This window comes from Homo sapiens, chromosome 5 (genome assembly GCF_000001405.40).
Source record: "Homo sapiens chromosome 5, GRCh38.p14 Primary Assembly".
NCBI lineage: Eukaryota > Metazoa > Chordata > Mammalia > Primates > Hominidae > Homo > Homo sapiens.
This window is the reverse complement of record NC_000005.10, coordinates 126,837,342-126,865,155: the sequence shown is the minus strand read 5'-3', so window position 1 is coordinate 126,865,155 and position 27,814 is coordinate 126,837,342. Positions and strand designations below refer to the sequence as shown.

General features: G+C 45.4%; 6 annotated features.

Moving 5' to 3' along the window:
- Positions 16,993-17,819: an enhancer, noted in NCBI's record as "H3K27ac-H3K4me1 hESC enhancer chr5:126183029-126183855 (GRCh37/hg19 assembly coordinates)". NCBI's record gives its function as "activates a minimal SCP1, AML or CMV promoter by ChIP-STARR-seq in primed H9 embryonic stem cells {active_cell/tissue: H9 hESC(primed)}" and the evidence as "EXISTENCE:reporter gene assay evidence [ECO:0000049][PMID:30033119]".
- Positions 18,874-19,843: an enhancer, noted in NCBI's record as "OCT4-NANOG-H3K27ac hESC enhancer chr5:126181005-126181974 (GRCh37/hg19 assembly coordinates)". NCBI's record gives its function as "activates a minimal SCP1, AML or CMV promoter by ChIP-STARR-seq in naive and primed H9 embryonic stem cells {active_cell/tissue: H9 hESC(naive and primed)}" and the evidence as "EXISTENCE:reporter gene assay evidence [ECO:0000049][PMID:30033119]".
- Positions 19,065-19,359: an enhancer, noted in NCBI's record as "tiled region #3880; HepG2 Activating DNase matched - State 23:Low, and K562 Activating non-DNase unmatched - State 8:EnhW". NCBI's record gives its function as "activates a minimal TATA promoter and a strong SV40 promoter by Sharpr-MPRA in HepG2 and K562 cells {active_cell/tissue: HepG2 | K562}" and the evidence as "EXISTENCE:reporter gene assay evidence [ECO:0000049][PMID:27701403]".
- Positions 23,326-24,068: an enhancer, noted in NCBI's record as "H3K27ac hESC enhancer chr5:126176780-126177522 (GRCh37/hg19 assembly coordinates)". NCBI's record gives its function as "activates a minimal SCP1, AML or CMV promoter by ChIP-STARR-seq in primed H9 embryonic stem cells {active_cell/tissue: H9 hESC(primed)}" and the evidence as "EXISTENCE:reporter gene assay evidence [ECO:0000049][PMID:30033119]".
- Positions 24,813-25,555: an enhancer, noted in NCBI's record as "OCT4-NANOG-H3K27ac hESC enhancer chr5:126175293-126176035 (GRCh37/hg19 assembly coordinates)". NCBI's record gives its function as "activates a minimal SCP1, AML or CMV promoter by ChIP-STARR-seq in naive and primed H9 embryonic stem cells {active_cell/tissue: H9 hESC(naive and primed)}" and the evidence as "EXISTENCE:reporter gene assay evidence [ECO:0000049][PMID:30033119]".
- Positions 25,556-26,300: an enhancer, noted in NCBI's record as "OCT4-NANOG-H3K27ac hESC enhancer chr5:126174548-126175292 (GRCh37/hg19 assembly coordinates)". NCBI's record gives its function as "activates a minimal SCP1, AML or CMV promoter by ChIP-STARR-seq in naive and primed H9 embryonic stem cells {active_cell/tissue: H9 hESC(naive and primed)}" and the evidence as "EXISTENCE:reporter gene assay evidence [ECO:0000049][PMID:30033119]".

Genomic DNA, 27,814 nt, shown 5'->3' with positions numbered 1-27,814 from the left:
TTTTTTTTTTTTAAGACAAAATCCTACTCTGTCGTACAGAGCTGGAGTGCAGTGGGGGAATTTCGGCTCGCTGCAACCTCCACCTCCGGGGTTCAGTCCGTGGCATCTGTTTCTAGGGCGTCTTGAAACGGCTATGGAGGCCCAAGTCTCCTTCCTTAGCCTCCCGAGTAGCTGGGATTACAGGCGCGCGACCACCATACCCAGCTAATTTATTTTATTTTATTATTTTTTTTTTTTTAGTAGAGGTGGGGTTTCACCATGTTGGGCAGGCTGGTCTCGAACTTCTGACCTCGTGATCCGCCCGCCTTGGCCTCCCAAAGTGCTGGGATTACAGGCGTGAGCCAATGAGCCCGGCCCTATCCAACACTTTAAAACTTACCTCCTGGCCAGGCGCGGTGGCTCACGCCTGCAATCCCAGCACTTTGGAAGCCTGAGGCAGGCAGATGGCTTGAGTCCGGCAGATGGCTTGAGCCCAGGAGTTCGAGACCAGCCTGGGCAACACGGTGAGACCCCCAGCTCTCCACAAAATACAAAATATTAGACAGGTGTGTCGGTATGCACCTGTGGACCCAGCTACTCAACAGGCTGATGTGGGAGGATCACTTCAGCCCCGGAGGTCGAGGCTGCAGTAAGCCGAGATGGCGCCACTGCACTTCCTGCCTGGTGGACAGAGCGACACCCTGTGTCAAAAGAGAAAAAAATAAAATTACTTTATTTAATCCTCATAACCTTATCTAGTGCCACGTAACAGAACTTAGTGGTCCAAAACAACTACGTTATTGTATCTCATTATTCCACGGGTTGATCTGGCCACAGCTGGGCAGTACCTCTGCCAGGTGTCTTACACAGTCCGATGGCACAGTGCTGCTCCATGTGGCCCGCCTCTCCACGTGGCAGCTGTTTGTAGGACTCCGTGAAATGGCAGTGGCAGCGGCCCAAGGCTCCTGCTTAAACACGGGGCTAGGCAGTCCCAGGGCAGTGCTTACTCTGTATCCTATTGGTCAAAGCAGTCACAGGCCCGCCTCTTGTGGGAGGAGCTACACGCAGACAGGGCAGGACAGAATTTTTTGGAGCCCGTCTTCGCCTATCGTCCCCAGCCCATTTTAGGGATGAGGACACTTAACTAAAGAGGTTGTTAATTGCCCAAGGTAACAGAGCTAGTTAGAGGCACAGCTGGGATTCAGAACCATGCAATCAGAGCATGGACTCAGCCACTAGTTTTAAATATTTTCCCTTTCACTTCTAATCTCCACTCCTATCTCCTTCCTTCCTCCATTAGGCACCCACTCTCTAATATGTTTGATATTATAAATTGAATATGTATGCTTCTTTGCAAAACATATTGTTTTGTAAGTATGTCTTAATTTACATCAACGATATTACAACTGTCCTTTTTCACTGAACACTGTTTCTAAGATGCCTCCATGTTGCTGCGTGTGCTACCTCATTGCTAATGGCTGTTTGGGATTCCATTTTACTTTTCCATTCCCTTAATGTTACCTCCAGCTCCCTGACCCAGCCAACAGTGCTGTGATGGACATCCTCGTGCTCATCCACATATGAGCCTGTCAGAAAGTTTCAGTGCATCAGTGTCCACCAGTGGGAGTGCTGGGTTATTGGACGAAGACATATTTAACTTCACTATTTTGGTCTTGTTCTCCAGGAGTATTTCACTTTAGACACCCCTCCCTGTAGTAATAGTTGAGTTTTCCCATTTCTCCATATTCTTTCCAACACAAGCTATTATTTATTTGTTCATTGTCGCCAATGTGATAGTATAAATCTGTGTTTTATTGTTATATTGCTTATTTGTCCAAATTTACATTTCTGGTTTTTTTCCTGTTGGGTTCCCTATCTTTTCCTTTTTAGTCTCCTTAGTCAGTTTGATGTCAGACAAAGTCATCTCTCATTTGTTCACCCCTCTCTTAATTTTGTTTATGGTATTCTTCATTGAACAGAAATCCTTAATTTTGACATAGTCAATTGTGAGTTTTGCTATGTAGTTTGTACTATGGGTAGTCTTACTTAAATTTAAGAAGTTCTTTCTCATTCCTGAAGCACAAAGTTATTCTCTCATTAGCTTTAGTCTTATCTTTCACCCTTAGGCCTCTAATCTGTCTGGAGCTCACCTTTGTATATGGTATAAGATAGGGATCCATTGTTATCTTCTAAAGCAGGCAGTTTTTTCATCATCATCCACTAAACAATCTACCCTTTGCTCATTCATTTATAGTGTCACCTGTATCATATATCTAGTTCCATATAAACATGGGTCTGTTTCTGAGCACTGAATTTATGGTTTCAGTCTTTTTGTCTGTTCCCACATTATCTCACCATCTATCTTACTGTGGCTTTTTTTTTTTTTTTTTTTCCTAAGACAGAGTCTTGCTCTGTCTTGCCCAGGCTGGAGTGCAGTGGTGTGATCTTGGCTCACTGCAGCCTCTGCCTCCCGCATTCAAGCGATTCTCCTGCCTCAGCCTCCTGAGTAGCTGGTACTACAAGCATCCGCCACCACACCCAGCTAATTTTTGTATTTTTAGTAGAGGAGGGGTTTCCCTATGTTGGCCAGACTGGTCTCGAACTCCCAACCTCAGGTGATCCACCTGCCTCGGCCTCCCAAGGTGCTGGGATTACAGGCATGAGCCACCGCACCTGGTCTTTACTGTGGCTTTACAGCATGCCTCAGTACCTAGTGGAATGACCAACTCCTCCCCAACCCCTTAACAACTTTACTCTTCTTTTCAGAATTGGCTTAGTTATTTGTGATCAAGCTTTTTATTCTTGTGTATAAATTTTAGAATTGTTAAGTAGTTGAAAAGGTCTTAATGGAATTTTTACTGGCATTGTAGTGAATTTATAATTCATTTCATTAAAATTGACATCTTTACAATTTTTAGTAACCCCATATAATGATCATAGCATATCACGACATATTCAGCTGCTTTCTGTGTCCTGTAATAGCGTTTTAATCTTTTCCAATAAAATTCTTCTGTGTTCTCTGTTAACTTTATTCCCAAATTTTATAGTTGGTACTGCCATTATAAATGATACTGGCTGGGCACCGTGGCTCACGCCTGTAATCCCAGCACTTCGTGAGGCTGAGGCGGGTGGACCACGAGGTCAGGAGTTCCAGACCAGCATGGCCAATATGATGAAAACTCGTCTCTAAAAATACAAAAATTAGCCGGGTGTTTTGGCACACACCTGTAGTCCCAGCTACTCGGGAGGCTGAGGCAGAAGAATTGCTTGAACCGGGAGGTGGAGGTTGCAGTGAGCCGAGATCGCACCACTGCACTCCAGCCTGGCAACAGAGTGAGACTCCGTCTCTAAATAAATAAATAAATAATATCTATCTTCTATTACATTTTCTAGTTGGTTAGTGCCAGTGTAGATGTACACTAGTTATGCTGTATCTTTGTTGAACTCTGTAGGAGTCTCATAGTTTGTTGATCATGACAGTTTGTTTATACCTGGCTAGGTCTGCTCTCTCCTGTGTTAATGTAGTGGCCAGGCGCTCCGCAACTCTCCCACTGCTGTCTAGTTAGCAGTTATATTTGCTGGTTTTCCAGTCTTCAAGGGTGTGTTCTGTTTCTCTGCCAGTGTGATTTTTTTTTACATTTTTCCTATATTCTATTTCCTTTCTATTCTAATACTCTGTGTTTTAAAAATTCTTTTCAAGAACATTCAATAATAATTATGTATAATCGATAGCTGCTAATAAAACTGTATAATTATAATTAATTATGTATAATTCACAAAACATTGAGAAAGTTGTGTGACTCTCTACTTTTCATTTGCCAGTGTAGTATGATACATTAATGTTGCACCATCCTTTCATTCCTGGATAAATCTTACTTAATAAAATTTTCTACATCTATCTATATTCATATATGGAAAACCAAGAGTTCACAGTGACACCATCAATTGCAATTCAATACCACAGAGGTGAATTTTGTTTCTATTTCCATATTTCTATCCCCCTTTCCTAACAGTGAGAAAACTTGACTTTCATTGTCTTTGATTTACTTGCCTATTTAATCAATTCCTCTGCATGGAAGCCATCTCCCGGCTTCATAGCCATCCCCTCCCCAGCACGGAAGGCCTCCTCACTGCTCTCGAGCTCTGACACCCAGACCAGGCTACACCCAACCCACTATAAGGACACCCTCCTCATCCCAGTACAACTCTGGTGCACCCAATGGGTGTTCCTCACCTTCATTCAGCCTGCAGTTATCCTCTTCTTCATTTGATGTTTTATTTCCATCCTCTCTTTTACTTTTTGTCTAGGAGGAGTGGATTAATGGTGTATTCACTAATCTTTGTGAAGAGTAAATGTAGAACTTTCTTAATCTTCTCTTTCTCTCACCCTCTTTTGTCCTCTATCTCACTGATTTTAGCTTTATGTTTATTTCTTCCTCCTTTCTTCTTTTAATTTACTCTTGTTTCAGTCTTTTTTTTTTTAACCTTTGGATGAGTGATTTAAAGCTATAAATTTTCTTCTAAGTACTACTTTATCTCACACAATCTTTTAAAGTTTTCATTGTTTAAATTTTAGTTCTAAGTATGTTTTTTAAGTTTCTCTTGCTTCCTTCTTTAACCCAAGAATGCTTTAGTAGTGAGTTTTTTTTAGCTTCCAGCAAATGAACAGAAGGGAGGATGTTATTCTTTTGTGCTTTAATTATTTTAATTATTACATTATGATCAAAGAACTATGATCTCTATGATGTAGATTCTTTGAAAGTATGGCATTTTTGTGGCTTAATACAGGATTGTTGCAAATATATATATGTATATATGCTACATATATATGCATATATTCTATACATGCTATATATATGTGTCTATAAATAAACTACAGTTTATTGGGTAGTTTACATCTTCACTTTTTTCATGCTTTATCAAACTCTGAGAGGAGCATATAGCATTTTCTGATTACAACTGCTGATGTATTTATTTCTCCCTTCAGTCCTGTTAGTAGCTACTTTATGTATTTGAAGCTATGTTGATATGTTTATTATTATATCTTCTTGACATATTGTTCCTCTTACAAAAATATAATATCCCAATATTCTGCTTGTCCACTTTGATGTTTTAAACTTCTCTTTTGTCTGATATTAATACTAAATATTTCTATAACCTTTCTAACTCAGGAATAGAAAACCAAACATCGTATGTTCTCACTGATATGTGAGAGCTAAGCTATGAAGACTCAAAGGTGTAAGAATGATACAACAGACTTGGGGATTTGGGTGGAAGTGTGGGGGATGAGGAATAAAAGACTGCAAATATGGGGCAGTGGACACTGCTCGGGTGATGGGTGCACCAAAATCGCACAAATCACCACTAAAATACTTACTCATGTAACTAAATACCACCTGTACCCTAAGAACCCATGGAAAAATAAAAAATAAAAAAAGATAAAGGAATACTAGGAAAAAAATTTTTTTTTTTGAGACGGAGTCTCGCTCTGTCGCCCAGGCTGGAGTGCAGTGGCGCGATCTCGGCTCACTGCAAGCTCCGCCTCCCGGGTTCACGCCATTCTTCTGCCTTAGCCTCCCCAGTAGCTGGGAGTACAGGCACCCACCACCACGCCCCGCTAATTTTTTGTATTTTTAGTAGAGAAGGGGTTTCACCATGTTAGCCAGGATGGTCTTGATCTCCTGACCTCACGATCCACCTGCCTCGGCCTCCCAAAGTGCTGGGATTACAGGCATGAGCCACCATGCCTGGCCATGGAAAAAAATTAATAAACATTTCTATAACCTCTTACATCTATAGACAACATACTGTTAAATATTATTTTTAAAATTTAATTGGCAAATATTTGTCTTGGGATTGATGAGTTTAATCTACTTACTTTTATTTTACTATCATGTTGGTGTTAATTCTACCACCTTTTTTCTTTCTTTCTTTCTTTTTTATGAGATGGAGTCTCACTCTGTTTCCCAGGCTGGAGTGCAATGGTACAATCAGCTCACCGCAACCTCCGCCTCCTGGGTTCCAGCAATTCTCCTGCCTCAGCCTCCAGAGTAGCTGGGATTACAGGCAGCCACCACCACACCCTGCTAATTTTTGTATTTTTAGTAGAGACAGGGTTTCACCACAGTAGCCAGGCTGGTCTCGAACTCCTGACTTCAAGTGATCCTCCCGCCTCGGCCTCCCAAAGTGCTGGGATTACAAGCATGAGCCACCGTGCCCAGCCCACTACCACCTTTTTTCATGTCTCATTATATTTTCCCTGTGATCTCATATTCTCCTGCGGATCTTGACTACCTTGGCTAGTGGTGAGTATTCAGGGTGAGAAGAGCTGAATCCCTGGTGGGTCAGCAGGGAGGGCGGGGCACACACTGAGGGTGGGAGATCCTCTGGGGTTGCCGTTTGGACTCGGCCACTCCCCATTTGCCACAGTTAGCATGTGACTGTGCCCTCAGGGAACCGCCACATACCTCCATCCTGGCGGAAGTTCCATCTCCCTGAATTGCAGTCAGCTCGCCTTTGAAGAGGAGAAGGCTGGGGAAGAGGAAATTCCATGCGGTTGGCAGATCTGCCTGCACGTATTTTGTATGCACCTGCCCCCGTGTGGGTAGAATGCAGCCCTAATCTTACCCTGCTGCCCCGGAGCCACCTATTGCTATTGGTTGTTTTCTGGGGTGTGATGCTTCCATGGAGAAGCATTTCACAGGAGGGAGACAAGGATGCTACTCTCCGCCCATACCTGTCCCCTAGGTGTAGTGTCCTGTTCTCCCCCCGCACCTTCTGTAGCCCCCGTGTTCCCTGTTTTGTTTGGTTTGGTTTTTTTCTCAGACTCACCAACCATTATCTCACTTATTTGGCGCTTGCACGGGTGATTGGGGAAGGGGGCCAAAAGTCAGGGTAAATTTGCCATACTATATGCCATCAGCACTTCTCCAAAAGTCCTTCTTGGAATCCTGCAGTTGCCATGGGGACAGGCCATGGGAAAGAGACCAATCACCTTGGCTCTGGTGCCTTGGCCCCATTCAGCCAGTTTCTCTCTGCTTTATAGAGTGGGGATCTGGGCTAGATTTCACTGGAAAGAAAAGGATTGCGCTCTTAAAAATGATAATGTTGAAATTTGTTAAATCCTGTTTTATTCTAAAATTCTAGGTAGCCTCATCTGGTTCCCTGGTTCATGGGGACTCTGTGTTTACCAAAAGCAGTGAAGTGCTTGGTAGGAAAAAGCCTGCACCGCACGGGTCTGTCTTACATAAAAATGACACCCACACAGCATTCCTGGCTCTCATCCCTTCCCCAGTGCCAGAAAGGAGGCAGCCGTAACTTTCACCCAGCTGCAAATAAGTAATGCTCAGTAGACATATGAACTGTGTTTTACTCTCAGGGGGCTTAAAGACTGCTGACGTTAGGAATTTTTTTTAAGTCAGTCTTGAGATTTGTGAGAGAGAATGTCTGGAAGCCACCAAGAGGGCAGATCTGCAGAACACCGGTCCCAGTGCAGCCAATGCCAGGGAGGCCAGGCAGGCGGCAAGAAGGCCTGCGGTGGGGATATCACCAGCAAAGGGTCAGCTGCATTACTTTTACAATGTAAGAACTGGAACCGTGTTTTCCTGGCCTTTAAACAGTACACTCAGACAGGCTTTTGGGCACTTGGCAATTAACTTTGCTAATGTATAAAATGTCACTGGGTTTTCTCCATCATTGACCTTCCTTGTCACTCCCCCTGCCTCGTAACTGCAGGGCTGAAACTTTGTTAGATGCCTCTGGTTTGGCAGCTGAGGGTGCCCACGGCTCAGCCATGTCCATAAGACACCACATGATAGGTGCCCTGCTCACTCAAGGCTTGCCTCTATAAGGGCCTCTCAGCCACTAGGAGCCCAGGGAGACCAGGCTGAGCTGGCCCAGACATGGAGGTGAGATAAGGAGAGTCTAGGGAAGCCATCTAAGACTCTATCATCTGGGTATTGGTGGCTCTATTCTAGAGTCTGTGTGAGGGCCCAGGACTCAGTCCTCGTGGGCAACATCTTACAGCAAAATTAGCAGTCCTGAGTTAGGAGGTCTGCTATGTGAGGAGAGATTCCCCAGAAGCATGCACCATTCTGGACAGTACGCCAGGGTCGTGGGCAGCTCTGGCCGGGTCAACCTTTGCAGCTCCACAGAATCTTTGCATTGTGGGAGCTCTTAGGAGGAAGAGGAAAAAATCTAACATTTGTTAGTAAATCTGCTTCATCCCAGATGAGAAGGACTAAGAATCAGTCTCGGCCATGGTCTGCAAAAGTCAAGGGACTTCAGTTTTCTTGTTTTGGGGTGGTTTTTGTTTTTTTTGTTTTGTTTTCTTTTTTTAAGACAGGGTCTTGCTTTGTTGCCCAGGCTGGAGTGCAGTGGTGAGATCACAGCTCACTGTAGCCTCAATCTCCTGGGCTCAGGTGATCTGCCTACCTCAGCCTCCCAAGTAGCTAGGACTACAGGTGTGCAACACCAAGCCTGACTAATTTTGTGTGTGTATGTGTGTAGAGACTGGGTTTTGCCATGTTGCCCAGGTTGGTCTCAAAGTGGAGATCTCACCACTGCACACCAGCAATAGAGCAAGACTCTGTCTCAAACATAAAATAAAATATAAAATAAAATAAAATAGGCTGGGCGCGGTGGCTCACGCCTGTAATCCCAGCACTTTGCGAGGCCGAGGTGGGCGGATCACGAGGTCAGGAGATCAAGACCATCTTGGCTAACACAGTGAAACCCGGTCTCCACTAAAAATACAAAAAATTAGCCAGGCGTGGTGGCGGGCGCCTGTAGTCCCAGCTACTCCGGGGGCTGAGGCAGGAGAATGGTGTGAACCCGGGAGGCGGAGCTTGCAGTGAGCCGAGATAGCGCTACTGCAGTCTGGCCTGGGCGAAAGAGTGAGACTCTGTCTCAAAAATAAAAAATAAAATAAAATATGTACTGTGTACTTGAAAGTTGCTAAAAAAAAAAAAGTAGATCTTAAATGTTTTCACCACAAGAAAGATAGCTTGATGTAATCATTTCACAATGTATACATATGTCAAAACATCACATTTAACATCATAAATACATAAAATTTTTGTCAGTTATACCTCAATAAAGTGAACAGGAGAAAATAGAATATTATGTGACATACAGCGCATATGTAAATATTATCTTTAGTATATTCTGAAGAGTAAAATTGTATTACAAACTAAAAAAAAAAAAGTCATGCTATTAATGCTATATCTGGGATTCACTTTAAAATAATCCAAAAGATGACAGAGTAGAAGGTGCAAGTATGGATGAAATAAGATTGGCCACATGTAGGTAATTGTTGACTTCAGGTGATGTGTATATGGTATTCATTATACTACTCTCCAGTTTTATATAGGTTTAAGTTTTCCATTTGTGAAATCACTTGTATTTAAAAAAAAAGAGTTGGGCACTGCTGCCTGATATACGCTCTCTCTAAAAGAATTCACTGCTCTGCAGGGACTGGTTGCTGAGCAGAAGGGAGCCTATAGCTCATAGGCTGTAGGCTCAAGGTTGGTCATTTTACATAGAGATGTTAAGTATATGAAATCAAACATGATCAGAGTAGTACAGTAAGGCAATGGGCTGACTGTGCAGTAATTGTAGATAGGGGAAGGGAAGCAGAGGTCAGAGAAGAGGCCTCAGGCTCAGTGCCAAGAATGATGCTTTTGGTCACGGACAAAAGGGCTTCAGAGCATCCCGTTAAAAAAGAAAACCCACATCCTGCTGAGATTGGAGGCGGCCGATAAGGCTGTCGCCCATCTGACAGTGCTACAGTGATGGAGGCATCCCACCACACTCTAGAAACAAAAAGAAGACAAATGTCAACAGATGCCTCGATTCTGCTATCATCAAGTGTGCGTGTGCACATGGCTTGGTTTGAGGCAGGGGATGCGGGTTCCATGATGAGAGGGATGATTCTCATTAGCTTGTTCTCGATGCTGTCTTTGTGCGCCACAAGGTTAATACAGGAAATATGAAAGGCGCTCAGACTGCCAGGAGCAGCTGCTCGTGGGTAGGTCAGCCCTGAGCAAACCTTCCTTAGGTCCAGACCATGACTGTCCTGCCAATTGTTCATAGTGAGAGGTGACAGCGTGCTGGCAGCCCTCGCTCGCTCTTGGCGCCTCCTCGACCTCCGCGCCCACTCTGGCCGCGCTTGAGGAGCCCTTCAGCCTGCCGCTGCACTGTGGGAGCTCCACTCTGGGCTGGCCGAGGCTGGAGCTGGCTCCCTCTGCTTGTGGGGAGGTGTGGAGGGAGAGGCGCCGGTGGGAACCAGGGTTGGGCGCACACTTGCAGGCCAGCGTGAGTTCCGGGTGGGCGTGGGCTCGGCAGGCCCCCGCACTCCGAGCAGCCGGCCTGCGCCCCCAGCCCGGGGGCAGTGAGGGGCTTAGCACCTGGGCCAGCAGCTGCAGAGGGGGGCGCCAGGTCCCCCAGCACAGCCGGCCTGCCCGTGCCATGCTCAAATTCTCGACGGGCCTCCACTGCCACCCAGCCGGGCAGGGCTGGGGACCTGTAAGCAGCCATGCCCTACCCCCCGCCCCCCCCCCCCCCCCCGGCCCCTGCACTAGGCTCCCGCTCAGCCTGAGCCTCCCGGACGGGTGCCGCCCCCTGGTAGGAGGCACCAGGTCCCATCAACCACCCAAGGCCTGAGGAGTGCAGGCGCACGGTGTGGTACTGGCGGGCAGCTCCCCCAGCAGCCCTGGCACCGCAACCACTAGGCAAAGCCAGCTGGGCTCCTGAGTCAGGTGGGGACTTGGAGATCTTTTATGTCTAGCTAGAGGATTGTAAATGCACCAATCAGCACTCTGTGTCTCGCTAAAGGTTTGTAAATGCACCAATCAGTGCTCTGTGTCTAGCTAATCTAGTGGGGACTTGGAGAACTTTTGTGTCTGGCTCAGGGATTGTAAGCACACCAATCAGCACCCCGTCAAAACAGACCAATCAGCTCTCTGTAAAACAGACCAAACAGCTCTCTGTAAAATGGACCAATCAGCAGGATGTGGGTGGGGCCATATAAGGGAATAAAAGCAGGCTGCCCGAACCAGTAGTGGCAATCAGGTGAGGTCCTCTTTCCTGCCGCGGAGGTTTTTTTTCTTTTGCTCTTTGTAATAAATCTCGCTGCTGCTCGCTTTTTGGGTCTGTACTGCCTTTATGAGCTGTAACACCCAACACGAAGATCTGCAGCTTCACTTCTGAGGCCAGCCAGACCACGAACCCACCGGGAGGAATGAACAACTCCAAGAGCGCAGCCTTAAGAGCTATAACCATTTGCCGCGAAAGTCTGCAGCTTCAGTCCGGAAGCCAGCGAGACCACGAACCCACCAGAAAGAAGAAACTCTGAACACGTCCGAACATCAGAAGGAACAAACTCCAGACACACCATCTTTAAGAACTGTAACACTCACCGCGAGGGTCCGTGGCTTCATTCTTGAAGGCAGTGAGACCAAGAACCCACCAATTTCCGACACAATAGCACCCAAGCATCAACTTCACTCTGGTGGCTGGCGGGGGCCACTAGGAGGGCACATCCTCTGTAATCCATCCCAACGTGGGACATGGAGGGTGGGCTGTGTGTCACAGGGCGGAGCAACGATCTCTGCCACCTGAACGACGAAACAGGAGAAAAGCTTGTGAAACAAAGCCCTCCATGGCCCAGGTGAAGAAAAACATCTAGACAGATGAGCAAAATGGGTTTCCTCTCCTAGCGGAAAACTTACCATTTTAAAAGGTTATTCTGACCCAGAAAATAACGCTCTTGCCCTCCCCCCACCCCCAACACCCCACACACATACATCATGCATGAATACACACTGAAAAACTATGGCACAGACACACAGTCACACGCAGCATTAGAAGAATCCTGGGCCAGGTCAACTCTGTTGTCAGTATCAGCAAGTCTCAAAGTGAGCCCTCTGAAACCCCTGTGATCCCCTCTCCTCCCTCTCCCACACTCGTGATGACAGCTCCTTGTGGCTAAGTTCAGCACCAAGTAAGGAAGAAGTGCCTGCAACAAGCTTGCTTGAGGAGGAAAAACAGTAAGGCGGCAGGTGTCGGAAGCAAGTCACCCCCGGGAAAAGTCAGGGAGAAGTGGCCACATGCCCCTCTGGGGTCAGGATTAGAGCTCAGAAAATGACTCATTTGTCTCTACAACCCCGCAGTAGCGCTTCCAAACATGAGAGGGGGGTCACAAGCCCAGACAGGGTGAATTTGTTATTAAACAAACCAATGGAGGGCAGGCAGCACATATGTTCACGTTTCCTGCCTCTCCCATCTCTTTTTGGAACTGAATGAGCCCCTTCAAACAGCAGGCTTTTGGAATCCTGTCAGTTTCCTCGTTTACCACAGAGACAATATCTGCGCACTAAATAGTTTCCCAACTATAACCCTCCAAAATCAGGCTGGGCGCGGTGGCTCACGCCTGTCATCCCAGCACTTTGGGAGGCGGAAGCAGGTGGATCACTTCAGGTCAGAAGTTCAAGACCAGCCTGGCCAACATGGTGAAACCCCGTCTCTACTGAAAATACAAAAACTAGCCAGGTGTGGTGGCACACACCTGTAATCCCGGGATTACAGGAGGCTGAGGCAGGAGAATCTCTTGAGCCTAGGAGGTGAAGATTGCAGTGAGCTGAGATCGTGCCACAGCACTACAGCCTGGGCAAGAGTGAGACTCTGTCTCAAACAAAACAAAACAAAAAAGTCATTTGCATCAAGTCAGCCACTTCCTGCAGAGTCTGTTGAAGAGCACACACAGAAAAACAAATTGCCTAAGAGCAAGGTACCCTGGAGTACTCCGTTAAGGGGCTGATCTCATTACCGTAGTTTAGGATTCAGGTGCCAAGGATGACAAAATGAACTGCCTTGCTTTATTTCATAATTCAGTGTTTCCCAGCCTTCCACTATTCATTTTGGGAAAGAGTTGTCAAAAACCCATAGTTATTTCTCCCAGCAACCTGGGAGGGGAAGGAAGGAAAGTCACTCAGGCTTAGTCACATGTCTTTCTGGCGTGCCAGAGGCTTTGTCCATTGGGGATACTTCAATCCTCTTTCCCAGCTGAGGCCTTAAACTATTTGTTTAAATGAAAATCTGAAATAAAACTACAGCTGTTATCAAGAACAGGCAGGAGATCCTGTCATCTTGGTTCCATGGATCAAGCAGAGGGCCAGTGTTCAGTGTTTGTGAAGAGCACCGGCGTGATTTTCCAGCAGCGGAGGACAGCCCCAATGCAGTGTGCAGCCCTGTGAGCTGGGGAAGGCAGACAGAGGTTGGCCAACTGGCAGGAGCCAGAAGATTTTCTTCATGTTCGGGTCTCAATGGAAAACTCAGAAGTGACTGCCAAACACGTTCCGGGAATCTTCTCCATTTCCCATTTGAGCGCTGAGCACACGGGGCACCTCCACAGTCACAGTCTTCTTCGGTTTTAAACAACAGGGGCAAAGGTTCCAATGTGACCAACCTGTCACAAGTACTGACAGTATTCACAAATGCCTTCTTCCTGCCAGAAATGCAGAGAGACCCAACCAGGCACCCGGCACCTCCACACGGTGGAGACAAGCCACGTGACTGAGTGTTTAAAGCAAAGAGAAGGGAAATCACAGCATTGAAAAATGATTTGGAACAAACAAGCACGATGGAGGCCACTTCGGGGGAAAGCTGACATTTGTCTAAAATGGAAAAATCCAAACGCACTTTCCAAAGCATCAAGCTGGGAATAGTCATTGTCCCTCATATAATATTCAATTTGCAACAGGAAAAAAGCAGATTTTGCCACTTATTTAAGTGTTGCTTTTACTTGTCCAAACCGGGTAGGTATAGGGTGGAAGAGGATGTGAGTTATGATTCTCCCAGGTGGGGATCTCTCTTTGAAAGCACTAGGCCCTCAAACTCCAAATTAACCAGGCACTCCCACTTTCTATCCCAAATCCCATCAGAGCAGGGAGAACCAAGTCTCAGGGAACCTCAGGGGAACTCTGAATTCCATGCAATTGGCTGAGCGACATTCTCGGCACACATAGCCTGCCGTTTCCATGAAAGCACTCTGGACTGACCTGGACCCTTGAGTTCGGGTGCCTGTGAGTACCCAGGACCACTCAGGAACACCAGGGAAACAGACTGAGGCTGCAGGACTGTGGCCCCTCTTTCTCCACTGTTCTGTCTGCAATCAAGTTCTGGCTGGAGTCTAGACGGATTCTTCCAAGGTTAGAGCAAAATGCCCTATCAGGATCACCAGCTGTATCCCTTAGCTAATGCTCTGAGAGATCATGGCCAGTTTTTAATAAGCTCAAATCGTCTTAACGAGAAGTCAAAGAATTTGAACCTCCCCCTTAACGTCCCCAACCTTGGAGCTGTTGTCATGACTGCGGAGGCGAGAACTTCACCTTTGAAACTCAGCCTCCTACCAGACAATTCTTTCCTAATGACCATTTCCCATAAAAGACCAGTGCTCCTGAAGCGTGCCGTGTGGTGCCTGCCTTTTATAACAGCAGTTGACCACAGTTGTTGTTCTACACATCGGTGTGAATATTTGATTGATGCCCCCCACCCCCACCCCAACCAGGGTCAGGCAGAAATTTCTTTTCGCTCACCATTGTATTGCCAGTGCACAGCATGCAACTTAGTAAGTGATTAATCAATGTTTGTTGTGGGCCAGGCACAGTGGCTCATGCCTGTAGTCCCAGCACTTTGGGAGGCCAAGGTGGGCAGATCACTTGAAGTCAGGAGTTAGAGACCAGCCTGGCCAATATGGTGAAACCCCATCTCTACTAGAAATACAAAAATTAGCTGGGAATGGTGGCGCACACCTGTAATCCCAGCTACTTGGGAGGCTGAGACAGGAGAATTGCTTGAACTTGGAAGGCAGAGGCTGTATTGCACTCTAGCCTGGGCAACAGTGAGACTCCGTCTCTCAAAAAAAAAAAAAAAGTTTGTTTAATTAATATTAATATTTATTAATAAAATGAGTAAAATGTGGTGTTTCCAGTGTTCTCAATGGCCTTCCTTGTTTAACCACTCAGTTGACTTAACCCAGGAGAAATGTTAATTCTGACTGGCACTATTTTTGCTAATAGACTTACTTAAGCCAACAATAATTAACAGCCCTGCCATTTTATAACAGGACAGCCTCACCTTACTTCCCATCTTAATTCCCGTGATCAAAAAATTTTAAGTTAATTAGTTTTAAATTCCTATTTCTTTACAACCTACTATATTGGTATGACCATCTTACATGGCCTCATTTATTCCACTATCAACTCTTTGTAACAGGATCTTTAGTTCCAATTTACAGATAAGGAAACTGAGATGCAGGAATGTTAGCTTTTTTAGACTTACATCACTAAGTGACAGCAACTTAGTGTCATTAACTACTTCTCTTATCAAGGGTTTTCCATTCACAGACCTAGTTCAAAGGCAAAAACAATGTGCTGTTTATTCTTTCTACGTGAAGTCTATCTATGGAGAAGACCCATCTATGTGGGAAAGTATAAATTTGGGACATAACCCATGACTATAATTGAATTCTCTATCATTAAAAAATCATTTATTTTATTTCCTTTCCAATCAAAGCTGAATCACCAGTTCCAATAATTCCTGTTATTCACAGCATCCCCACCCTACCCCCATCAGGATAACTTGGATGTACTTGCATACCCTCTGGGTCATTTTCAACACTTCCTAGATACAGTAACACATTGCATCACTGGGGTCCAAACTGCTTTCACCTACTTGCTGGGTGGTGTGTTAGCTTACCTAAAGGTGACTATCCCCCCAAAGGAGAGTTTTAAATCAGAACACTTAACTACCTCCCTGATGTCAGGGAAAGTGCATCCTGAAACAGCCAGTTTAGGAAAGGTCATTCTACCAGGGCTGTGGCTTTCTGCCTTATCTGAGAGCTTACGATGCGATAGTGGGAGGAAGGCAGATTGAGCAAGAGCTGGAGCTGTTCCTGCTCCTAAGTCCATCTTCATACGCTGAGAGGTGCAAATCAGCTAATATACAAGAAAGCATTTTCTAAACCTCACCATGAAAACAATGTTTATTACATTTGCCATTAATTTGAAGAACATTAGAAACAACAGAGATTTTAAATAGGGATTTGGGGATTATCCGACAGTTGGAATTGTTCCCATTCATTTCAACAATTAATAGCACCGTTTTCATTAGTAAACTGGCTATGTTATTTTTTTTTTTGACAGCTCCCTGGGATAGCAGAATAGGCATAGTCATCAAGGATAATAGAACTGTGATCACACTGAGTTCCTCAAGAAAAGAACTGGCTGTCTCATCTTGGTATTCTTGATGCCTTGCTCAGTAGCGCCTGGCAAAACTAAATCTCCCAGTGAATGGTTGGTGAAGGAATGAACAAGTGAATAAATGACAACCTGTGGGCCTGTTATCCCATCTACAAAACAAGGACAATACTAATAATGCAGTATTGTGAGCTGTAAGGTAATGTTTGATGTGACAACTCAAGCATGAGTGAACATTCAATAAATGTTTGCCCCCTTTCCTTTCACCCTGCTTCCTCTTGATGGGTCTTATGCTGCTTTTCTGCCTTCCTATGTGAGAGTGAAAGTGTCCCGTGTGTCAGAGACCAACACGTGCTGGTGTGTACTCCCCACATGTCAGAGCAGCACTGCGTTTCCAGACCCTGCCCCTGTCGGTTTCTCCCAGTGGGGTCCCCAGTGTTCCCCAGCTGTAAGGTCCGGTAAGGGCCCAGCTTCAGGTCCCCTCTGGGATTTCTGGTATAAGGTCTGCCTGAGTGACCCAAAGCATTCACCTCTAGCACCCACGCCCTTCTTTCTCCAGGGAAGGACCCCTCCCAGAAGGATTGTAATAATACGCATTACTTTTCCTGGTAATGAAATGCAACATGTCTCGGGATAGAACCCAGGCTCACTATTTCTTTTATGACATAATATGAATGTTTGCAGATCTTGATTTTTTTTTTCCGAGTTCAAATTTCATAACAATTTTCCTCTTAGCAAGACAAAAATTTTTTAAAGAGAAATGATCTGATTCAGTAGCTGGGAAAACAGTTCATAGGAAAATTCTGTGAAAACCCTATGATCCCAGAAAGAGCTTGGGTTGAGTCCCTTCCTGGCATCTGCTGGTTGGAAGAGGCAGCGTAACAAGGGAGTGAAAGCTGGCAGTGAAGAGGAAGGCTGGGTCATGACCCCAGTCCTAGGAAGAGAATGAACTAACTGCCAGGGTCACAGTCACACTGCTCGCTAAAGGGCAGTGTGAGAGGGAGGCTCCTTGGCCTAAATGTGGACAATGGAGAGAAAATCAGAAGAGAAAAACAAGTGATCTGGGACTGTTTGTGAAACTAGATAAAAAAACAGGTCATCTGAAGATCACTCTCAACCACTGCATTAGGAAGCCAGAGAAACACATTCAGCACAGTCAGACATTTGTGTCCCTCTGGTCACAGTGGACACTTTTAACTAGTACTTGTGGCTAAACTTAAGTCATGGGACTCAGGACTAGAAGGGGCTGTGGAAACATCCGCGTGTATTCAACAGACGAAACCAGACAATTTGAGAATCATTATCCAGACTGAGTCAGGAAACACTGAAGAAAACCTCGCACTACCAAAGGGACCTCCACCCTATCACAATTACACAGTGAGGTCTGCCCCCAAAGACAGATCCATGCAGAAAAGCAGCAGATGCTACAGTGGGAGGATTAGGGCCACCAGCTGTAAGCCAAGTGGGTCACAAGATAAGTCTTAAAAGGCAAGTAGGAATTTATTTTTCATCAAAAAAAAAACAACACTAGTATTTAAGAAAATGACATATAAATGCAGAGAAATCTTCCGGTTTCACAGACTGCAGCTCATTTGGAGTAATACACAGCCAAAGTAAGTATTTAAAAACCCAAAATGGAACAGAAGCGGCATTTCTCTAAAAGCAAACTTGGCTGGCATTTAAACTGAGAATTCCAATTCAGATTGGTGGAGGAAGCACTCACATCATAAATCTGGGTGAATATGTGTTTTATTGTTATAAAGTAATTAAGCTACTGAGGCAGGCTGTGTCCCTAAATTGAGAGGTGTATTTTGTCTCTGGAGAAATGTCAGGAGAGGACAGGATTTACCATGCTGTTAAAAGTGAAAGAAAATGCATTATTGTGGAAGTGAGGGGTAGGAGGACGTAGGCAGTGAGGGATTTTACACTCTGGGTCCCATGCATGGCTCCAGGGCAAACTGGTTACTGATCTGCCTCTAAGATTGTTCTCTGTCCTCACTCTGACCCTCCAGGACAGCAAAGCAGCATCCATTTACAGTACTGTTCCCTGTTAATTCCTCTTCCCACTCAATACTGCTAATGTGACGCCTCTCCCTGAGAACTTGAAATATGACTTCTGTGAGTTTTGCATGTATTTTGCCACGTATTTGCCTCATTTTCATCAATCTGGCTCTGAATGTCCCCTTCAGTAAGGCAGCCAAATAGAAGAAACACAAAATTCTAAAAACTACTTCCTTCAATACCTTTTTTTCATGGAATTTCCCCCCCCTAATTTGGTAGACAAGGAAGGACAGTCAGTCCCAACTTCAGAATTCTGGGTTTTCCTGTGTAAACACCACAGATACTAGAGCCTTGCTTCAGGGACTCAAAGGCTTGAACCCTAAGAAACATTCCCCTCTGGTGGCACCTCCTAAAATTCCATGTTGTTACTTCAAGCAATGGAATTAAAAAGAAAAAATCTGCATTTTGTTTAGAAGCCAATGATCCAGAGGGTATGGATTATTTAAAGATTCTTTTCAATTTTTCTCATTTTATCATGTGTTTTGGCAAGAAAAGAAGGGGCATCCAAATAAATTTCTTTGTAATTTAAGATATGATGAAAAGGATGATGGGTAAGATATTGAAACCCAAGAGGAACGTGACTTAGAATCATATCTCTTAAAAATATACACAGATGCACTCATGTATGATAGCAGATTAAAATGACATGGACAACCCCTCCTTCCACTACAAGATTGAGAAAATAGAACAAAATTTGTTTTAATAGAGCCAAGCTTTAAAGAAAGAACAAGAAATGTCCAGGTGCCACAAAGAATTCAAAATCTGGAATATAAGCCTTAAGGGCTGGTAGTTGAGGACAGGAAACAGCTTTAGCTCTTTGCAAGGGAGTGAACCTAGAAACCTAGAAGATTGTTGAACAAAGCACAGAACCTTCCATTGCTCCCTGCAGCCTCACACTACCAGAATACTGCCTGTCAGCCCAGAGCAAAAACAAACTACCGGCGGGGCGGGGCGGGGCGGCGGGAGAGGCGGTGCTTTTCGGCAGGATGAGGAAGCTACTTGAGAAAAACAGAACAACCATGCATGTAAAAGTGTCACAGTAGATTTGTATTACCACGAGGTGAGAAAGTGACCCAAAAACGGTCCTGGGACTCTGGCACAGGAAACTTCCAAATTCCTCTGTAGCAATACCATCAAAACCCTGGGACACGGATTGTCAGGCCTCTGAGCCCAAGCCAAGCCATCGCATCCCCTGTGACTTGCACGTATAAGCCCAGATGGCCTTAACTAACTGAAGAATCACAAAAGAAGTGAATATGCCCTGCCCCACCTTAACTGATGACATTCCACCAAAAAAGAAGTGTAAATGGCCGGTCCTTGCCTTAAGTGATGACATTACCTTGTGAAAGTCCTTTTCCTGGCTCATCCTGGCTCAGAAAGCACCCCCACTGAGCACCTTGTGACCCCCACTCCTGCCCGCCAGAGAACAAACCCCCTTTGACTGTAATTTTCCTTTACCTACCCAAATCCTATAAAACGGCCCCACCCTTATCTCCCTTCGCTGACTCTCTTTTCGGACTCAGCCCGCCTGCACCCAGGTGAAATAAACAGCCGTGTTGCTCACACAAATCCTGTTTGGTGGTCTCTTCACACAGACGTGCATGAAATTTGGTGCCGTGACTCGGATTGGGGGACCTCCCTTGGGAGATCAATCCCCTGTACTCCTGTTCTTTGCTCCGTGAGAAAGATCCACCTACGACCTCAGGTCCTCAGACCGACCAGCCCAAGGAACATCTCACCAATTTTAAATCAGGTAAGCGGCCTCTTCTTACTCTCTTCTCCAACCTCTCTCACTGTCCCTCAACCACTTTCTCCTTTCCACTCTTCAATCTCTCCCTTCTCTTAATTTCAATTCCTTTCATTTTCTGGGAGAGACAAAGCAGACACGTTTTATCGGTGGACCCAGAACTCCGGCGCCAGTCACGGACTGGGAAGGCAGCCTTAGCCTTCCCTTGGTGTTTAATCATTGCAGGGACACCTCTCTGATTATACACCCACGTTTCAAGGGTGTCAGACCACGCAGGGACGCCTGCCTTTGTCCTTCACCCTTAGCGGCAAGTCCCGCTTTTCTGGGGAAGGGGCAAGTACCCCAACCCCTTCTCTCCTTGTCTCTACCCCTTCTCTGCTTTTCTGGGAGAGGGGCAAGTACCACTCAACCCCTTCTCCTTCACCCTTAGTGGCAAGTCCCGCTTTTCTACGGGGCAAGAACCCCCAATCCCTTATTTCCACACCCCGACCTCTTATCTCTGTGTCCCAATCCCTTATTTCCGTGCCCCGACCTCGTATCTCTGCACCCCAATCCCTTATTTCCGCGCCCCAACCTCTTAATATCTCTGCGCCCCAATCCCTTATTTCCGCACCCCGACCTCTTATCTCTGTGTCCCAATCCCTTATTTCCGTGCCCCGACCTCGTATCTCTGCGCCCCAATCCCTTATTTCCGTGCCCCAACCTCTTAATATCTCTGCGCCCCAATCCCTTATTTCCGCACCCTGACCTCTTATCTCTGTGTCCCAATCCCTTATTTCCGCACCCCGACCTCTTATCTCTGCACCCAATCCCTTATTTCCGCACCCCGACCTCTTATCTCTGTGTCCCAATCCCTTATTTTCGTGCCCCGACCTCGTATCTCTGCACCCCAATCCCTTATTTCCGCGCCCCAACCTCTTAATATCTCTGCGCCCCAATCCCTTATTTCCGCACCCCGACCTCTTATCTCTGCGCCCCAACCCCTTTTCCCACTTTTCTGGAAGGTAAGAACCCCCGAACCCCTTCCCTCTGTTTCTCTACTCTCTTTTCTCTAGGCTTGCTTCCTTCACTATGGGCAACTTTCCACCCTCCATTCCTCCTTCTACTCCCTTGGCCTGTGTTCTCAAAAACTTAAAACCTCTTCAACTCACACCTGACCTAAAACCTAAATGCCTTATTTTCTGCAATGCCGCTTGACCCCAGTACAAACTCGACAGTAATTCCAAATAGCCAGAAAATGGCACTTTGAATTTTTCCATCCTGCAAAATCTAAATAATTCTTGTCGTAAAATAGGCAAACGGTCTGAGGTGCCTGACGTCCAGGCATTCTTTTACACATCAGTCCCTTCCTAGTCTCTGTGCCCAGTGCAACTCGTGCCAAATCTTCCTTCTTTCCCTCCCGCCTGTCCCCTCAGTACCAACCCCAAGTGTCGCTGAGTCTTTCTAATCTTCCTTTTCTACAGACCCATCTGACCTCTCCCTTCCTCCCCAGCCTGCTTGCTCCTCGCCAGGCCGAGCTAGGTGCCAATTCTTCCTCAGCCTCCGCTCCTCCACCCTATAATCTTTTTATCACCTCCCCTCCTCACACCTGGTCCGGCTTTCAGTTTCGTTCCGTGACTAGCCCTCCCCCTCCTGCCCAGCAATTTACTCTTAAAAAGGTGGCTGGAGCTAAAAGCACAGTCAAGGTTAATGCTCCTTTTTCTTTATCCCAAATCGGATAGCGTTTAGGCTCTTTTTCATCGAATATAAAAATCCAGCCCAGTTCATGACTTGTTTGGCAGCAACCCTGAGACACTTTACAGCCCTAGACCCTAAAAGGTCAAAAGGCCGTCTTATTCTCAAAATACATTTTATTGCCCAATCTGCTCCCGACATTAAATAAAACTCCAAAAATTAAATTCCGGCTCTCAAACCCCACAACAGGATTTAATTAACCTCGCCTTCAAGGTGTACCATAATAGAAAAAAGTTGCAATTCCTTGCCTCCACTGTGAGACAAACCCCAGCCACATCTCCAGCACATAAGAACTTCCAAATGCCTGAACTGCAGCGGCCAGGCGTTCCTCCAGAACCTCCTCCCACAGGAGCTTGCTACACTTGCTGGAAATCTGGCCACTGGGCCAAGGAATGCCCGCAGCCCGGGATTCCTCCTAAGCCGCGTCCCGTCTGTGTGGGACCCCACTGAAAATCGGACTGTTCAACTCACCTGGCAGCCACTCCCAGAGCCCCTGGAACTCTGGCCCAAGGCTCTCTGACTGACTCCTTCCCAGATCTTCTCGGCTTAGCGGCTGAAGACTCACACTGCCTGATTGCCTCGGAAGCCCCCTAGACCATCACGGATGCCGAGCTTCGGGTAACTCTCACAGTGGAAGGTAAGCCCGTCCCCTTCTTAATCAATACGGGGGCTACCCACTCCACATTACCTTCTTTCCAAGGGCCTGTTTCCCTTGCCTCCATAACTGTTGTGGGTATTGACGGCCAGGCTTCTAAACCTCTTAAAACTCCCCAACTCTGGTGCCAACTTGGACAATACTCTTTTAAGCACTCCTTTTTAGTTATCCCCACCTGCCCAGTTCCCTTATTAGGCTGAGACACTTTAACTAAATTATCTGCTTCCCTGACTATTCCTGGACTACAGCTATATCTCATTGCCGCCCTTCTTCCCAATCCAAAGCCTCCTTTGCGTCCTCATCTTGTATCCCCCCCCACCTTAACCCACAAGTATAAGACACCTCTACTCCCTCCTTGGCGACCGATCATGCACCCCTTACCATCTCATTAAAACCTAATCACCCTTACCCCACTCAACACCAATATCCCATCCCGCAGCATGCTTTAAAAAGATTAAAGCCTGTTATCACTTGCCTGCTACAGCATGGCCTTTTAAAGCTTATAAACTCTCCTTACAATTCCCCCATTTTACCTGTCCTAAAACCAGACAAGCCTTACAAGTTAGTTCAGGATCTGCGCCTTATCAACCAAATTGTTTTGCCTATCCACCCCGTGGTGCCAAACCCATATAACTCTCCTATCCTCAATACCTGCCTCTACAACCCATTATTCTGTTCTGGATCTCAAACATGCTTTCTTTACTATTCCTTTGCACCCTTAATCCCAGCCTCTCTTCGCTTTCACTTGGACTGACCCTGACACCCATCAAGCTCAGCAAATTACCTAGGCTGTACTGCTGCAAAGCTTCACAGACAGCCCCCATTACTTCCATCAAGCCCAAGTTTCTTCCTCATCTGTTACCTATCTCGGCATAATTCTCATAAAAACACACGTGCTCTCCCTGCCAATCGTGTCCGACTGATCTCTCAAACCCCAACCGCTTCTACAAAACAACAACTCCTTTCCTTCCTGGGCATGGTTGGATACTTTCGCCTTTGGATACCTGGTTTTGCCATCCTAACAAAACCATTATATAAACTCACAAAAGGAAACCTAGCTGACCCCATAGATCCTAAATCCTTTCCCCACTCCTCTTTCCATTCCTTGAAGACAGCTTTAGAAACTGCCCCCACTCTAGCTCTCCCTGACTCATCCCAACCCTTTTCATTACACACAGCCGAAGTGCAGGGCTGTGTGGTCGGAATTCTTACATAAGGACCAGGATTGCGTCCTGTAGGCTTTTTGTCCAAACAACTTGACCTTACTGTTTTAGGCTGGCCATCATGTCTCCGTGCAGCCGCTGCTGCTGCCCTAATACTTTGAGGCCCTCAAAATCACAAACTATGCTCAACTCACTCTCTACAGTTCTCATAACTTCCAAAATCTATTTTCTTCCTCATACCTGACGCATATACTTTCTGCTTCCCGGCTCCTTCAGCTGTACTCACTCTTTGTTGAGTCTCCCACAATTACCGTTGTTCCTGACCCAGACTTCAATCTGGCCTCCCACATTATTCCTGATACCACACCTGACCCCCATGACTGTATCTCTCTGATCCACCTGACATTCACCCCAGTTCCCCAAATTTCCTTCTTTTCTGTTCCTCACCCTGATCACGCTTGATTTATTGATGGTGGGTCCACCAGGCCTAATCGCCACACACCAGCAAAGGCAGGTTATGCTATAGTATAAGCCACTAGCCCGCCTCTTAGAACCTCTCATTTCCTTTCCATTGTGGAAATCTATCCTCAAGGAAATAACTTCTCAGTGTTCCATCTGCTATTCTACTACTCCTCAGGGATTATTCAGGACCCCTCCCTTCCCTACACATCAGGCTCGAGGATTTGCCCCACCCAGGACTGGCAAATTAGCTTTACTCAACATGCCCCGAGTCAGATAACTAAAACACCTCTTAGTCTAGGTAGATACTTTCAGTGGATAGGTAGAGGCCTTTCCTACAGGGTCTGAGAAGGCCACTGCAGGCATTTCTTCCCTTCTGTCAGACTTAATTCCTCAGTTTAGCCTCCCACCTCAATACAGTCTGATAACAGACGAGCCTTTATTAGTCAAATCAGCCAAGCAGTTTTTCAGGCTCTTAGTATTCAGTGAAACCTTTATATCCCTTACGGTCCTCCGTCTTCAAGAAAAGTAGGACTAAAGGTCTTTTAAAAAAACACACCTCACCAAGCTCAGCCACCAACTTAAAAAGGACTGGACAATACTTTTACCACTTTCCCTTCTCAGAATTCAGGCCTGTCCTCGGACTGCTACAGGGTACAGCCCATTTAAGCTCCTATATAGACGCTCCTTTTTATTAGGCCCCAGTATCATTCCAGACACCAGACCAACTTAGACTGTGCCCCCAAAAAACTTGTCATCCCTACTATCTTCTGTCTAGTCATACTCCTATTCACCGTTCTCAACTACTCATACATGCCCTGCTCTTGTTTACACTGCCGGTTTACACTGTTTCTCCAAGCCATCACAGCTGATATCTCCTGGTGCTATCCCCAAACTGCCACTCTTAACTCTTGAAGTAAATAAATAATCTTTGCTGGCAGGACTATGCTGAATCTCCTTAGGCACTCTCTAATCAGATATCCTGAGTCATCCCAATTCTTAGACCTTTTATACCTGTTTTTCTCCTTCTGTTATTCCATTTCGTTTCTCAATTCACCCAAAACCGTATCCAGGCCATCACCAATCATTCTATACGACAAGTGTTTCTTCTAACACCCCCACAATATCACCCCTTACCACAAGACCTCCCTTCAGCTTAATCTCTCCCACTCTAGGTTCCCACGCCACCCCTAATCCCGCTTGAAGCAGCCCTGAGAAACATCGCCCATTCTCTCTCTCCATACCACCCCCAAAAATTTTTGCCGCCCCAACACTTCAACACTATTTTGTTTTATTTTTCTTATTAATATAAGAAGGCAGGAATGTCAGGCCTCTGAGCCCAAGCCAAGCCATCGCATCCCCTGTGATCTGCACCTATACACCCAGATGGCCTGAAGTAACTAAAGAATCACAAAAGAAGTGAATATGCCCTGCCCCACCTTAACTGATGACATTCCACCACAAAAGAAGTGTAAATGGCCGGCCCTTGCCTTAAGTGATGAGATTACCTTGTGAAAGTCCTTTTCCTAGCTCAAAAAGCACCCCCACTGAGCACCTTGTGACCCCCCACTCCTGCCCGCCAGAGAACAAACCCCCTTTGACTGTAATTTTCCTTTACCTACCCAAATCCTATAAAACGGCCCCTCCCTTATCTCCCTTCGCTGACTCTCTTTTCGGACTCAGCCCGCCTGCACCCAGGTGAAATAAACAGCCGTGTTGCTCACACAAATCCTGTTTGGTGGTCTCTTCACACAGACACGCATGAAACGGATCACTCACAACATAGCCCTTGCTGGAGATGTGTTCACAATCCTAAAAACTCCATGAGAAAGCCAACTACCATTAGGAAAGTCAACAGACACAGCTAACAGAAAAATTAGCATTCTCCAAAACTCAAAAAAATAGAATTGAGACTATAAAATATGGTTAAAATGATTCATAAAAAGAATAAAAACTATAATAAAAAATTATGAAAAAGATAAATTTGAGAAAGAATCAAAGACAACTTCAGAAACAAAAAAATGAAGCCTAAAAAGTTCAATGGCTGGAATAAACAGATAAGACAGGGCTGAGAACAGAATCAGTGAGATAAATACGAAGGAGTTAACTGAGAATATAGTGTGGAGAAACCTAAAATACATGAAACAGGACAGGTTCAACACAGGTATAAAAGAAACCCCAGAAGGAAAGAACAGACAGTGGGGATGAGATAATACTCAACAAAATAAGAACATCCAAAATTTTCTTAATGAAGAACACAGAGATAAGACCTGAACAAGAGGAATAAAAATAAATCCATATCTAGGCGTGGTGGTGTGCACCTGTAATCCCAACTACTCAGGAGGCTGAGGCAGGAGAATCGCTTGAACCTGGGAGACAGAGGTTGCAGTGAGCGGAGATTGCACCATTGCACTCCAGCCTGGGCAACAACAGCGAGACTCTGTCTCAAAAAAATAAATAAAATAAAATAAAATAATAAAATAAATCCATACCTAAACAGAGGTGAAAACAAACACTGAAGACAAAACAAGGGGAAAATGTGAATCATGCTTGTTATCAAATAAATAATCCAAAAATGTATATATATGCTGTATGCCTAACATCAATTTCATGCGGAGATGCTGATTTTAATACACAGGATGGCAGCGTGCCCTCTAGCTCACTCACATTCTGCGGGAATGGGTTTAGGTGCAGCTCAATTTCAGAAAACCTCAATTTAGTCCAAAGTTTGTCAGTCTAAACAGACTCAGGAATCTACTACTGCCACACATCCAGGGGCAACAAACTGTTTATGTTGAGCCCTGCATTTGTACTCTCAATTTCCCCAGCATACACACTATTCTACTATGTTACAACTGCCAATTTTTCTTAATGCCCAAATTAATTCAAGTGTTGGCTTTTATAACCTAATTTATCCAGCAATAAAAGCACCTAGAATGTATTTTGATGACAAGAACCCCATCTTGTGGCAAAATGTTTCACAGCTGAGTTTGGCTGTGTACTGTAATGCCATTCCCACTCTGAAGATAAATCTGCGTTGAGAAGTTATCATTTTATCTGCTTTACCAGACAGAATTTCTAACCCAGCATTTATCTTGTGTCTGCGACGGCACCAAAGTATGCAGTAAATCTGCGGAACACAGTAATTCTGGGGCTTTGTGAGTTATTTTCAAGTGAAAGCTGGTAGTCTTTGTGCAGCTTACTGCAGGAATATTTTAAGAGAAAAACAAACACTGACTAGGGTTAGCTTCTGAAATATTATCTGTCCATTCTAGGAAGAGTTCAGATATTGCACTTCCTATAAGATGAACTCACTTAACTAAAGCAATCAAGACAAAACCTCCCCAAATCCACACGAATTGACACCATAATTAGCACCATACATAATAAAGCTACCCCACACACAGCACATTCGTATTTCATAGCATTCATGTTATTTTTCTAAAAGGTGGCTTTTAATCAATTTCTCGGCCCTTCCTATTTTAAAAGACAGTAGAATTACATTCTAAAATATTCTTCCCATTTTTTCTTTTACTAGGAATGTCCAGCATGGGAAACATGACAAAATGCTCTCTACGAATACAAAAACATTAGCCGGACATGGTGGTGTGTGCCTGTAGTCCCAGCTACTTGGGAGGCAGAGCCCAGGAGAGGTCAAGGCTGCAGTGAGCTAAGACCGTGCCATTGCACTACAGCCTGGGCAACAGAGTGAGATTCTGTCTTTAAAAAAAAAAAAAAAAAAAAAGGAATGTCTTCCTCA